Source organism: Homo sapiens, chromosome 7 (genome assembly GCF_000001405.40).
Source record: "Homo sapiens chromosome 7, GRCh38.p14 Primary Assembly".
Classification (NCBI taxonomy): Eukaryota; Metazoa; Chordata; class Mammalia; order Primates; family Hominidae; genus Homo; species Homo sapiens.
In genome coordinates this window covers 26,056,399-26,069,444 of record NC_000007.14, presented here as the reverse complement: position 1 = coordinate 26,069,444, position 13,046 = coordinate 26,056,399, and the positions used below count along the sequence as shown (strand labels likewise).

The following is a 13,046-nucleotide window of genomic DNA, read 5'->3' as shown; positions in this document are numbered from 1 at the left end:
TTTGCATTTTTAAGGACCCCTTTTATTCTGGAAGAGTAAACACTTATAGGTCAATGTTAGCCTGTTTTTCTTGGTCACCATTGATGCTGATGGTTGATATGCATACTCCGAAGTTGGTCACCTGTATCAATATGGGGGGATAAAGACTGCTAGAAGGTTCACACTAGAGGCCCACGGAATGGGTCATTGCTAAAAAACAAATGGGCTACAGTGATTTGACTGGTTGCTACTTGGTAGTAGAGTCTACGTCTTTTCTGTTACCCATGTCCAGCCCAGGGCCTGTTACATATAATAACAATAATAACTTTCATTAAGCACCATGACGTGCCGGCGGGGAGTGCTCAGCACATGTGTAACCCATTTAAATCTCATGACAGCCCAGTGAGGTCTTGAGCTGGTGAATTGCTCATTTGCTCTCAGGTCCATCTCTGCCCTTTTCCTGCTCTGCTCTGTACCACAGCCATCACATTTCCCAGGCTCCCTGGCTTCTCATTAGGTTCAGCCAATAAGAGGCGCTGGCAGAGGCTGGAGGGCAGGAAGAGGGAAGATGTGAGGGCATTTATCCCTTTCCTGTGCTGATGCCAGTGCTGACTCCAGGAGCAGCTGTGTCTCCCCTATGGACCCAGTGCCCAGTAGCCCTGGCTTTTGGGCTCTGCTGTCACCACCTGCTCTGTCTGGTTGTCCCTGCAGCCCTACGGATGGTGGTGGCTTCCTGCTGCAGCTCGTATCCAGGTCATCTCACCATCCCATTTAGCTTCCCCACTCTTCCCTCACCTAGGGAACCAGTTCCACATATTAAATGCCCTCTTTGAAATGCCTAGAGTGGTTTCTTTTTTCCTGGTTAGAACCTAACTGATATAGATGTTAATAAATTACCTAAATTCTACATATGAGAAAACTAAGGCTCAGAGAGGTTAACAAACATACACAGGCCTGGTCATTCAGCCCATGCCTCTTAACCATGAAGCAATCTTGCCTCAAAATACAAATAAAGGCTTGGTGCGGTGGCTCACACCTGTAATCCCAGCACTTTGGGAGGCCGAGGTGGGAGGAGTGCTTGAGCCCAGGAGTTCGAGACCAGCCTAACCAATTTTTTGTAGAGACATGGTGAAACCCTCTCTCTGCGAAAAATACAAAAATTAGCTGGGCGTGGTTTTGCGCACCTGTAGTCTCAGCTACTCAGGATGCTGAGGTTGGAGGATCACTTGAGACTGCGAGGTGGAGGGTGCAGTGAGCAGAGATTGTGCCACTGCACTGCAGCCTGGGCAACAGAGGAAGACTGTCTCAAAAAACAAACACACAAACAAACCAAAACAACCCCAAAAAACAAAAAAAAGTTGTCAAGTTGTCAAGTAATTAATGAAGCAACTCAAATTTGGACACATCAGACTTGGACACATTGTGCTAAGAAAACTTTTACTATACTTGCATCTTTGCTAGAAGACATGTTTTAGCAAGCTGTGTATGTGTCCTTCCCTCCCTCCCTCCCTTCCTTCCTTCTTTCCTTAATTTCCCACCCCCCATCTCTCTCTCTTTCTTTTCTTTCTTTCTTTTTTGAGACAGAGTCTCCCTCTGTTGCCCAGGCTGGAGTGCAGTAGCACGATCTCAGCTCACCTGCAACCTCTGTCTCATGGGTTCAAGTGATTCTCCTGCCTCAGCCTCCTGAGTAGGTGGGATTACAGGAGTGTGCTACCATGCCTGGCTAATTTTTTTTTTTTTTTTTTTTTTTTTTGCATTTTTACTAGAGACAGGGTTTCACCATGTTGGCCAAGTTGGTTTTGAACTCCTGACCTCAAGTGATCCACCCACCTCGGCCTCCCAAAGTGCTGGGATTACAGGTGTGAGCCACCGTACCCGGCCAAGTTGTGTGTCTTTGATTAAGCATCATAAAACTGCGTTAATTACCTCACAGGATGATTCTAATATAAAATACAAGGCAAATACAAGGCAAGACTTAGCCACTTGGGTTCTCCCAAGAAACCATGCCCTGGAGGTGGAGTCTCAATTGTGCCATAAAGTTTATGTGGGAGTACCCATATAGGGGATTCTGTATATCTTGTTTTGGTTCAACCACAAGTTTGACAAATATTTTTGAAAGCTTGCCATGTGCTAGGCACTATTCTAGGCCCACGGATTTAGCTGTGAACAAAATAGACAAAAAAAAAAATTACCCTCAGATGCAGCCCACTTTCTGTATTGTTTTGTTTTAAACATCTATATTATTAAAAATGCTATTTCTTAGGAATCTCAATGTAGAGATAGAGTCTTAAATATCAATTGCACTTTAAAAAGTGTCATATGGTTGTTCTTCAAGAGCATTCTTTCTAGAGTTTAAAAACCAGGAAATACAGAACTTACCTGTGGGTTGAAGAGGGGAAAAGAAGGTGGAATGTTTGTCCTTGCAGGAGGTGATACAGTGAACAGGTTAAGAGCATGGCCTTGGAGTCAGACTGTCCAGGTTCGAAGACCCATGGCTGCACTTACCAGCTGTGCCACCTTGGGCAAGTCACTTAAGTTCTCTAGACCTCAGTTTCCTCATCTGTAAAATGGGGATGGCAGTACTGGCAAACTTAACACACAGAGTTCTTGAGAGGATCAAATGAGGATACATGTAAAGTCCTTAGAATGGTGAGAACAGCTAACATGTATTATTTTCACTTTGCAAGGATTAATTGAGATAGCAAATTTCATGGTGGTCCCTCAGGCCAATTCTTGAAGCTTTAAACCGAATAGTTCCATTAATGTGGATAATCGATCATTTTCCTTAGACTCCCCACCTTTGGATTCCTTTCTTCTCATTGTTAAAAATTGTCCCTGTCTTTCTCTTCCTCGTCACTCTCATATCCTTGTGCTGAATAATGAATAATGTCCCTTCTTCTGAAGTATTTGCACCAATGAATATGCTTTTTTATTTGGGCTTCCACCAATGAGGTTTTATTGTAGTTTAATTCAGTCCAAAGAGCTTTTCTTAAGTATCTACCATGGGCAACTGGATCACTGAGACATTCACTGAGGTGACCGGAAGAGGACTCCAACTTAGTCATAATTTACACAGAGCCAAACTGTCTCTAGCCATCTTTATCATTTATATTTACTGATTGTTTCTTTTACTTCATTCGTGATCCACCTAGCACCAGTTTTTAGATCATTTATTCAACAATCAAGCACTTTCTGTGTGTTCAGGCACTTTGCTGGTTTCTTGGGGTACAGAGGTAAACAAACAGGCATGATCCCTGCCTTTCCAAGCATCTGAGGGGTTGGATAGTACATTTGGTTGCATGAAAGAACATTCTTTTTCTTAAGCAGTGAATTTCCCCTGCCCCACCCCCATAGGCTATGGGAAGGTCCACTGGGCGTATGGAGAGATATTTCAACACTGGGAAGGCTAGAAAGACAGCGCAATGTGAAAGTGAACTTTGCAAGCATCATCTCCACAGTGTCTCGGGATCCTCAGAGCTGCTTCTTTCTTGGGAGAAGTGGGATGGGCTTTTGCACCCTGGCCATGGACAGTGCTGATGGGTTAGAGAATGGTATCCCTCCGTGTGCTGGAATCCAATCAGATACATTAATCTCCTTGGGGGACAAATCAAATTAATCCTCTCTCCAGATGGCAGCAAAGTGACAAGAGTGCAGAGATTAAAAGAGATTGTGAGGTTATACGGTGACAGCACCATCAATCGGGTTAGGAAACCCAGCACTCTATTTTCACCAAAGGTAAATGGCACCATCTCATTTTTTGCAAGTCTGATAGGTTTGGGGTCCTGGAGAAAAGCCCATTCCTATTCACTTCCCTCAATTTGACCCTTTCAATTTCAGAATTTCTATTTCTAAGGAACTATTTTTATTTATCTGTTAAATACTATTTCTTTGTGTTTTCTTTCTCCCTTCCCTCCTTCCTCCCTTCCTCCCTCCCTCCCTCCCTCTCTCCCTCTCTCTCTTTCTCTCTTTCTTTCTTTCTTTTTTTTTTCCACAGTGTTGCTCTGTTGCCCAGGCTGGAGTGCAGTGGGCGATCTCAGCTCACCGTAACCTTTGCCTCCTGGGTTCAAGTGATCCTTGTGCCTCAGTCTCCCAAGTAGCTAGGATTACAGGCATGCACCACCACTCCTGGCTAATTTTTGTAATTTAGTAGAGATGGGGGTTTCACCATGTTGGCCAGGCTGGTCTTGAACTTCTGAACTCAAGTGATCCACGTGCCTCAGCCTCCCAAATTGCTAGGATGACAAGCATGAACCACTGCACCTGGCCTGTTAAATGCTATATTGATCTCTTTGTGCCAAAACTCTTCCCTGATGTTATCATTTTTATTTTTATTGAATTTTCTAATACATTGTGGCCTCTGGGTTCCTGGGGAAGCAGATCCCGACTCAGAGATTGGCATTGCTGCTTAAAGTGTCCTGGGGGTCTTTTCTTCTCACTGGCGTCAACGCTGTGTGGGGAAGGGGAGGCTGGCGGCAGTGCAGTCACAGTGTGTTGTGACTCAGCCCTAGCTGACTCCATGGCTCGAAACCTGGAATGGCCCTTTTGAGTTGTCCCTTTTTGGGAAGAAACTGGGCTTTTATACCCCGAAGTCAACCAGCCATTGCTGCAGGCTGCCCCAGGATGCGGGCACGACCTTGGGCAAGATGGCTTTCCTCAGCCGAGCCGCTGGGAGCTGTCAGCTTACAACCCTCCCCGGGGAGACAGCACCTTGGGTCCTGATGGAGAAATCTGGGTGGCACAGCACAGCATTCATGACAAACATTTAGCAGAGACCCTTAGGATAAGCTGCACTTGAGAAACTCTTTCTTGATGCCATCAATGACTTTTTTTTTTTTTTCCTTGAGACAGAGTCTGGCTCTGTCACCCAGGCTGGAGTGCAGTAACTTGACCTCAGCTCACTGCAACCTCCGCCTCCCGGGTTCAAGAGATTCTCCTGCCTCAGCCTCCCAAGTAGTTGGCATTATAGGCGGGCACCATCACACTCTGCTAATTTTTATAGTTTTAGTAGAGACAGCATTTCACCATATTGGCCAGGCTGGTCTCGAACTCTTGACCTCAGGTGATCCACCCGCCTCGGCCTCGCAAAGTGCTGGGATGGATTACAGGCATGAGCCACCTGCCTGGCCCATCAATGACTTCTTAATGATCTCCTCCAAAGGCATACTTAGTTATCCTTTATCTCTTAGTAGTGTTTGACAGTGGCTTTTCCATCTTTCTCAATATTTTTGCTAAAATAACATGTCTCTTCCTGATTTTCTGATGCTTTCCTCTCTTTGGCCTCTTTTCCTTTTTCTTTTTTTTTTTTTTTGAGATAGAATCTCACTCTGTTGCCCAGGCTGGAGTGCAGTGGCGTGATCTCGGCTCACCGCAATGTCCGCTTCCCAGGTTCAAGCAATTCTCCTGCCTCTGCCTCCCTAGTAGCTGGGATTACAGGCACCTGCCACTGTACCCGGCTAATTTTTGTATTTTTTTTTTTTTTTTTTTTTTTTTTTTTAGTAGAGATGGAGTTTCACCATGTTGGCCACACTGATCTTGAACTCTTCACCTTAGGTGACCCGCCTGCCTAGGCCTCCCAAAGTGCTGGGATTACAGGCATGAGCCACCATGCCCGGCCTCTTCAGCCTCTTTTCTAATCCATAACTATGGTCATGTCTCCTAAATTTCATTCTTAGAGCTCTTTTTTTTCAGCCACTTCTGTCTTAGTTATCTGTCATCTCCATGGCTTCAAAGATAGCCCCCAAAGGAAGAGGTTCCAATCCATAAGGATACCCTTGATCTCTCTTCTGAGCCCTAGTCTGACATTTCTAATCACTTGTCCACTTCAAACTCAGTATGCCTGAAATCCAACCTGCCCTGCCTCTCAAACCAATTTCCCATCCTGAATTCTCTTTTTCTCTCCTTTCTACTGTTTTCCTAATCATTACGCTTGAGATCTCATGTTCATCTTGAACCCCTTTGTATGCTTCATTTACCATCTTGTTGTCATCAAACCTTCTAAGTTAACCTTCCAGAAATACTGCCCCTTTTATTTTGTTTCCACAACTGATATGTAAGTCACTATCACACCACATCTGACCTACTGCAGTAATAATGATTTCGGAGACATTTCTTCCTTTTGAGTAGTTTTGGTAAATTACCTAACACTGATGTAAACACCTTCTACACAACATTGACACACATTTATTCCTCATACCAACCCTATAAGGAAGGTCCTATTATTAGATCCATTCTACAGGTCATAAAACTGAGGCACAGAGAAAACCAAGGCACATGCCAGAGGTCACACAGCTAGTAAATGACACCAGAATTCTGAACCCCAGCAGCCTGGCTCTAGCGCTTGTGCTCTTAACCATGAAGCTAAACTGCCTCAAGCTGGTGCTTGGCTGCTGGTGACACCACCTTTTTCATCTTCATTATTATTGCTCTTGTGTACAAGCCAGAACAATCCTTCACTGTCTCTCGTAAGTTTAATTTGAAGTGTGCCTATCTTATTTTCCCAAGTTGATTGAAAGCTCTCTGAGGGCAGAGACCAAGATATTTTATTCTTCTCTGAACCTTGTTGTAAACAGCAGGAATTTCAGTTTGGTGAAATTCATTGATTGAATTGTTTGAAATATGATGGCAGTAGCCTCCAAAATGGGCCTCTCAGATTTCACACTCGCAGTTAGTTCTTGTTGCACACAGAATGGTCTATTTAGAATGGAAAGCAAATTTAGTTAATTCTCTGTTCAAGCCTCTCCGTGGATTACTGTAAAATCCAAAATTCTTACCATGTAAGGCTCCGCATCATTGGGCTCAGCTCATTTTTAAGTTTCGGTTCATCGCTCAGCTACCGGGGCCTTCTGCACTGCTAACTGCTCCGTGCACTCCCTGACCCCCGCCCAGCTCTCACACTCGCTCCGCCCCTTTCCTGGAAGCCCCTCCTACCAATTTCTCCCTCTTCTTCATTTTATTTATTCAGTTCTTCTGTCTAAAAATACATCATCCTCCCATCACTCTTTACTTCCTCTCCCTGCTGTGCTGTGATTCATAGTTTATCTGTTAGTATCAATTTCTATGTGACATTATAGTTTATGGTTATTTGGTTTTCTTTTCCTTTTTTTTTTTGAGATGAAGTCTTGCTGTGTCGCCCAGGGTGCAATGGCGTGATCTTGGCTTACTGCAACCTCTGCCTCCTGGGGTTCAAGTGACTCTCCTGCCTCAGCCTCCCGTGTAGCTGGGACTAAAGGTGTGCACCATCACGCCCGGCTAATTTTTTGTATTTTTAGTAGAGATGGGGTTTTGCAATGCTAGCCAGTCTGGTCTCGAGCTCCTGACCCCAGGTGATCCGTCCGCCTCGGCCTCCCAAAGTGTTGGGATTACAGGTGTGAGCCACCGCGTCCGGCCATTTGAATTCTTTTTTTGCAGTGTAAACTCCAGTAAGGCAAAGACCTGTATGTTTTGTTGAACAGATTATCCCCAGAGCCTAGAACAGTGCCTGGCACAGAGCAAGCCTCAACGAATATTTGCTGCATGAATGAATGACCTGGGGGGAAAATGAGGAGTTTGAAATGATGGCCATCGGGTCCATTCAGGTCTCTTCCTCCTTCAGCCAGCAGGGGGCTCTAGGCTCTAGAATTCAGAGGCGTAGACAGGCACCTTCACAGTGGTTTACCTGAAATCCCGCCTCCTAAAGCCAGAAAAATCCGCCTCCTTTTTCCCCTCCAAGTAGGATTGTGCCAACCCAGGCAAATATTGAACCTTGTGTTAACAAAGTTTTTTTTTATAGGTGGTCCTTCAAGGATTTCTTGGTTTTGGGTTTTGAAATGTGTAAGGTTTGCTGCTAGCAACTCCACATTTTTTTATTCACTCACAAAGACACATGGTCATAAATAAAATGCATGGAACCAGCGAGACAATAGCACAGCAGTAATGTCATTTTATGTAAGTACTTAAACACCGCAAATTAAACGGCTGACTGAATGAAGCCCATCAATTATATTTTGTGTTTACATCCTTTTGAAAGGAATACATCTCTCTCTGTTTTTGTTTGTTTTATGTTTGTTTTGTTCTGACACCTTCTCAATTACCTGGCACTATAATATTTCTTGTTGCGGACAGATGTCAGAAATACATTGGTAAATATAACATCTTCTTTTGGAAAATAAAACTCCCACTCCCTACTTAAAATAGGTGGTTTTAAAATTTGTATCAACTTAGAAATTGAAAAATCCCTGCTGGAAGAAATCGCTAGTGCATTTGAATGGACTTATTGTCTCTGGTTCATTTCCTTTAGAGTAGATTCTGGCAGGAGTGCCAGACTTATTGCCAAGACAAAAAGAACTATATATTACAGCTCCTGTCCTGCCAACACTAAGTAAAGCTAGTTTGGCAACACTTAACCATTGTTGAGAAGGCCCAAGTATAGTCATAAAAACATTAATATGGCTTATATTCTGTTACTTATGTCTGTTTCTGCACAAATGGTCCTCAAATTTGTACACAGAAAATTTGCCTCCCTCATCAGGCAGCAGTTTCCTGGAAAAACCACAGTAACCTTCTGTACATGAACCAGAGTAGATGGATTCCTGTAGAGGAAGGAGCAAAGAGGAGCCCATGGGAAAGGACGGCTCACCTCTGTGGAGAAGGCTGCCTATCAGTGTTTGTAACAAATAGACCCCTCACTGCATTAGTTTCCAAACAGGGAAATCTATTTCAGTCCAGACACTTTTATTTCTTTCTGGAAAAGAAATAATTGAAATTGCCAACTCTAGGCAGGAGAGAATGCATTGTATGGCTCATAGGGACTGAAGAAGCAGATTAGAAAAGGTGTGTGCTGAGTCTGGTGACCTAACTCAGCAGCTTTTGGCTAAAGGGGTTCCTTGGAATGCAGGGCTTCCTAATTGTGTTAAAATAAAATGATACGCTTAGTCAATAGTTAATGTTTGCCCAGTGTGGGCAGACTTCCTTACAAGGTAGTGTGTGTGGGTAACAATAACATCAACAGAATAGACAGAAGTCCTGCCCTCAGAGAGCTTATGAAACTGTGCATATATTAGGTTGATGCAAAAGTAATTGCGGTTTTTGCCTTTTTTTTAAAAAAAAAAGAATGGCAAAAACCGCAATTACTTTTGCATCAACCTAATAGAATATCACACACTTGAAAGAGGCTTAAGGTCATTATGAAGCATGATACTAATGACTGTGACCCCAGACTCAACTTCTTCAGGAAGGCGTAAATCTTGATCCTGTTTTTTGTTTTGTTTTGTTTTTTTTTTTTTTTTTGAAACAGAGTCTCACTCTGTCACCCAGGCTGGAGTTCAGTGGTAAAATCTCAGCTCAATGCAACCTCTGCCTCCCAGGTTGAAGCCACTCTTGTGCCTCAGCCTCTTGAGTAGCTGTGATTACAGGTGTGCACCACCACACCCAGCTAATTTTTGTATTTTTAGTAGAGATGGGGTTTCACCATTTTGGACAGGCTGGTTTCGAACTCCTGACCTCAGGTGATCTGCCCTCCAAGGCCTCTCAAAATGCTGGGATCACAGGCATGCGCCACCACATCTGGCCCTCTTGATCCTGTTTTTAAAAACTGAAATTGGGCTGAAGCTTGGGTATATCTGGTCTCTAGAAAGCATACCAGAATTCTGTGTATTCCGAAGTATTTAGGAACATGGCAGCCCTCCTGAGCACAAAGGCACTGCTCCCCAAGTGAGATCCGGAGGGGCGAGTGTACGTTTGGTCTCTGTATTTTAATAGGTATTAAACAGCCATTCACTCATTTTCCAAGGTGTTTACTGAGTACTTAGTATATACGAGCCAAAATGCGAGGGCCCTCGAGTTACTTCTGATTGAAAAGAGGATATGACGTGTACATAAACTGCTAAAATTGAATGGACACAGGGATGAGGGTCTCGAGGGAGGCATGTATAAATGGTGAGGAGTTTGGGGAGGGTGGATGACTCATAGATGAGAAGCCTGGGGAGGTTGTCAACGGCGGGTGCATCTTTTTTTTTTGAGGTGGAGTCTCGCTCTGTCACCCAGGCTGGAGTGCAGCGGTACGATCTCAGCTTACTGCAACCTCTGCCTCTCGGGTTCAAGCGATTCTCCTGCCTCAGCCTCCCAAGTAGCTGGGATTACAGGCTCCCGCCACCACGCCCAGCTAATTTTCATATTTTTAGTAGAGACAGGGTTTCACTGTGTTGGCCAGGCTGGTCTCGAACTCCTGACCTCGTGATCTGTCTGCCTTGGCCCCTCAAAGTGCTGGGATTACAAGTGTGAGCCACTGCTCCTGGCCAGCAGGTGCTTCTTATAGGACAAATAGGACTTGACCGCTTTGGAGATGGGCATGAGCCTGGGCCAAGTCCAAAGCTGTAACAGGCTGTGAAGCTTTGTTCCCTTGTCTTTGAGTATCAGATGCCCAGCTAGAACTCCATATTAATAAATTAAACACAGGAGATCGGTTGAACCTTCAGTCAAGCATCTTCCCACATTCCTAATCCTCTGCCTATCTAACTTCAGGAATATTTCTTCACATTATTTTAGTTGAAGGGCTCAAAACTTATTTCTTCTAGTAGGAACTGGTGAATAAATGGTGTCTATTTCCGAGATTCTTTTGTATCCTCCTTATAGACCATGACCACTCATGCTCACATGATCACCGGCCTTTCCCCAGATGCAGCATGGCCCTGTTGTGAACGGAATGATTGTGAACGGAATGATGGCCAAGGAGCTTTATGCTTCTGCACCGCCAGCTCACACGATGGTCCGTGTATTGCCCCGTGGAAAACCGGGGGTGGAAAGCTGTCTCCACGTTCTGCTGCCGAAGCAGCAAGCTGATTCACACATCTTGAAGGCACAGTGGAACATGGAAGGGTGCATATGAGACTTGATTTTGAGGATGAAACTTCCTGTCTGAATCGCTAAGTCTCCCAGCAGGGGTGTTAATGTCCCTGTGAGATGCAGGCTTCCCACAGACACACCCAGGTTGCGAGTGGGTTCAACATGGTCACAGGAGCTTCAAATGGTAAGATGGCAAGATCTGGTAGCATACTGAGACCACCAACCAGGAATGGAGGCTTGCTCCCAAGTAACTAAACATGGACTTGTCTCTGACACGGAAACAATGTGAAACACAGAAGGCTTTTGAGACTCAGAGGCACTCCAACAATGATACTTGAAAACCAGAACAGAGTTTGACACAGATGGATGCTTTCCAAATGTCATGTCATTTTTTCATATGTCAAGGGCGACCCAATGTTTGCTTCCTGTTCCCTAGGTGGGTTTTCCATGGGGACTGCTTCTAACCCCCAATCCCCACACACTCCACCTGGGCTGAAACTGCTGCCTCTTTTCCAATATATAGAAAGAAATGTGGCTCCACCCTGCATTTCCGTAAGACTCAGCTAGTTACAAATTTAGAACCTTGGAAACAATGATAAAACATTCTTCAAGAGAAAATAATCTCCAGGTTTTGTTTCATTATCTGTGAGACTATTCAGTGCTACATCTGCTGAAGGGCATAAAATCCATATTTTTGTTTTAAAAATGGGTCTACTTTGATGCAGCACCCAAATTTAATTACTCTTAAAGCTTTTTAGGATCCCAGATGAAAGATGCTACTGCAGTGTAAAGTTCTAATATTATTTATTTCCCTAGTCATCAACATTAGTTGGTTTCTCCTTTCTTGAAACCTATTTATCATTTGTATAAATATAGTATTTGGGGAGCTTCCTGCATTAGATCATCTCCTGTCGTTTCAGTGCCCTTGATGTTCATTACGCTTTCCTGGTGAGGCTTGCTGAGACATTAATGCAGTGACCTCTCCCATTTTAATATTGCTAGAAGGGCTTTAATGTTACTTATTGCTATTGAGATGAGATTTGACAATTATTTTTCTTGTTTTTGCCTCATGTAAAATACAATCTTCTTTCCTATAAGGGTGACCAGACTTTTCTCCCGATGTCAATACTGTCATTCACAAACATTTGTTCTTTCCTCCTATAACGCTAAACATTGACTAGGTTCTGGGGCTGCCAAGCAATTCTGGGGCTCTTAACCTTCTTCAAAAGCCAGCTCAGATTGTGTCTCCTCTGAGAAGTCACATCTGGCATGTCTTCCCCAGCCACCCACCTTGCCTAGTATAGTGGACAGTCTCTAAGGCACTCCCATGACCCTGTCTCCTGGCATTCACCCTTCATCTCCTCCCCTTAAGTGTAAGCAGCATGTGTGACTTGCTTCACATTAATAAAACATGGCAAAGGAGATATCACTTCCATGGTTACATTACATAAGACTCTAATATCTATCTTGCTGAGGAACTCCCTTGCTGGCTTTGATGAGCAAGCAGTCATGTTGGGGAGGCCCACGTGGCAGGGAACTTGACACCAGCAAGAAGAAACTGAGGCTCTCAGTCCACCACCAACAAGGAATTAAATGCATCCAACAACCTTGTAAGCTTAGAAGCAGATTCTTCCACAGTTAAGCCTTCAGATAAGGACCCAGCCCTGGCCAATACCTTGATTGAAGCCTTACAGAGGACCCAGCTACATGGATACCTACCCCCCGTGGATACCTACTCCCCGTGGGTACCTGCAACTGTGGATAGTACTGTACCCCGCATATACTATGCTTTTTTGACCTGATAACCGAGACAGCTACTAAGTGCCTAGCAGATGGGAAGTATATATGGTGTGGATACACTGGAAAAAGGAATGATGCATGTCCTGGGCAGGAGGCAGCGGCATGGTGCAAGATTTCATTATGCTATTCAGCATGATGCATAATTTAAAACTTATGAATTATTTCTGAAATATTCCATTTAATATTTTTGAACCACAGTTGACTATGAGTAACTGAAACCATGGAAAGTAAAACTGTGGATAAGTAAAACTGTATTGGTTTAACCTGCTAAGTTTGTGGTAATATTGTTATACAGCAATATAAAACTAATATATGTAGCTAATTTCTGCCTTTTCTATGGGCTCTATGTATATTGTGTATAGCTCAGTTACTGTATTTAGATTGTACTATAATCTTTTTTTGCATGTTCAGACTTCCCATATACAATGAGGACCATAATAATAACTATT

General features: G+C 43.9%; 1 long non-coding RNA gene across 7 annotated transcripts in view; it reads left to right on the top strand.

Annotated features, from left to right (window-relative positions):
* LOC105375199 (uncharacterized) overlaps window positions 1-13,046 on the top strand; it is a 191,528-nt gene that overhangs the window by 61,345 nt on the left and 117,137 nt on the right. For 4 of the 7 annotated variants that reach the window (XR_927114.3, XR_927113.3, XR_927123.3 and 1 more), the window contains 2 exons: window positions 7,748-7,902; window positions 10,631-10,981. The exons of 2 other annotated variants lie outside the window; for them this stretch is intronic. This is a non-coding gene — a long non-coding RNA (uncharacterized LOC105375199). The remainder of the gene's footprint in view (window positions 1-7,747; window positions 7,903-10,630; window positions 10,982-13,046) is intronic. One more of the 7 variants, XR_927117.3, reaches the window with a different exon arrangement.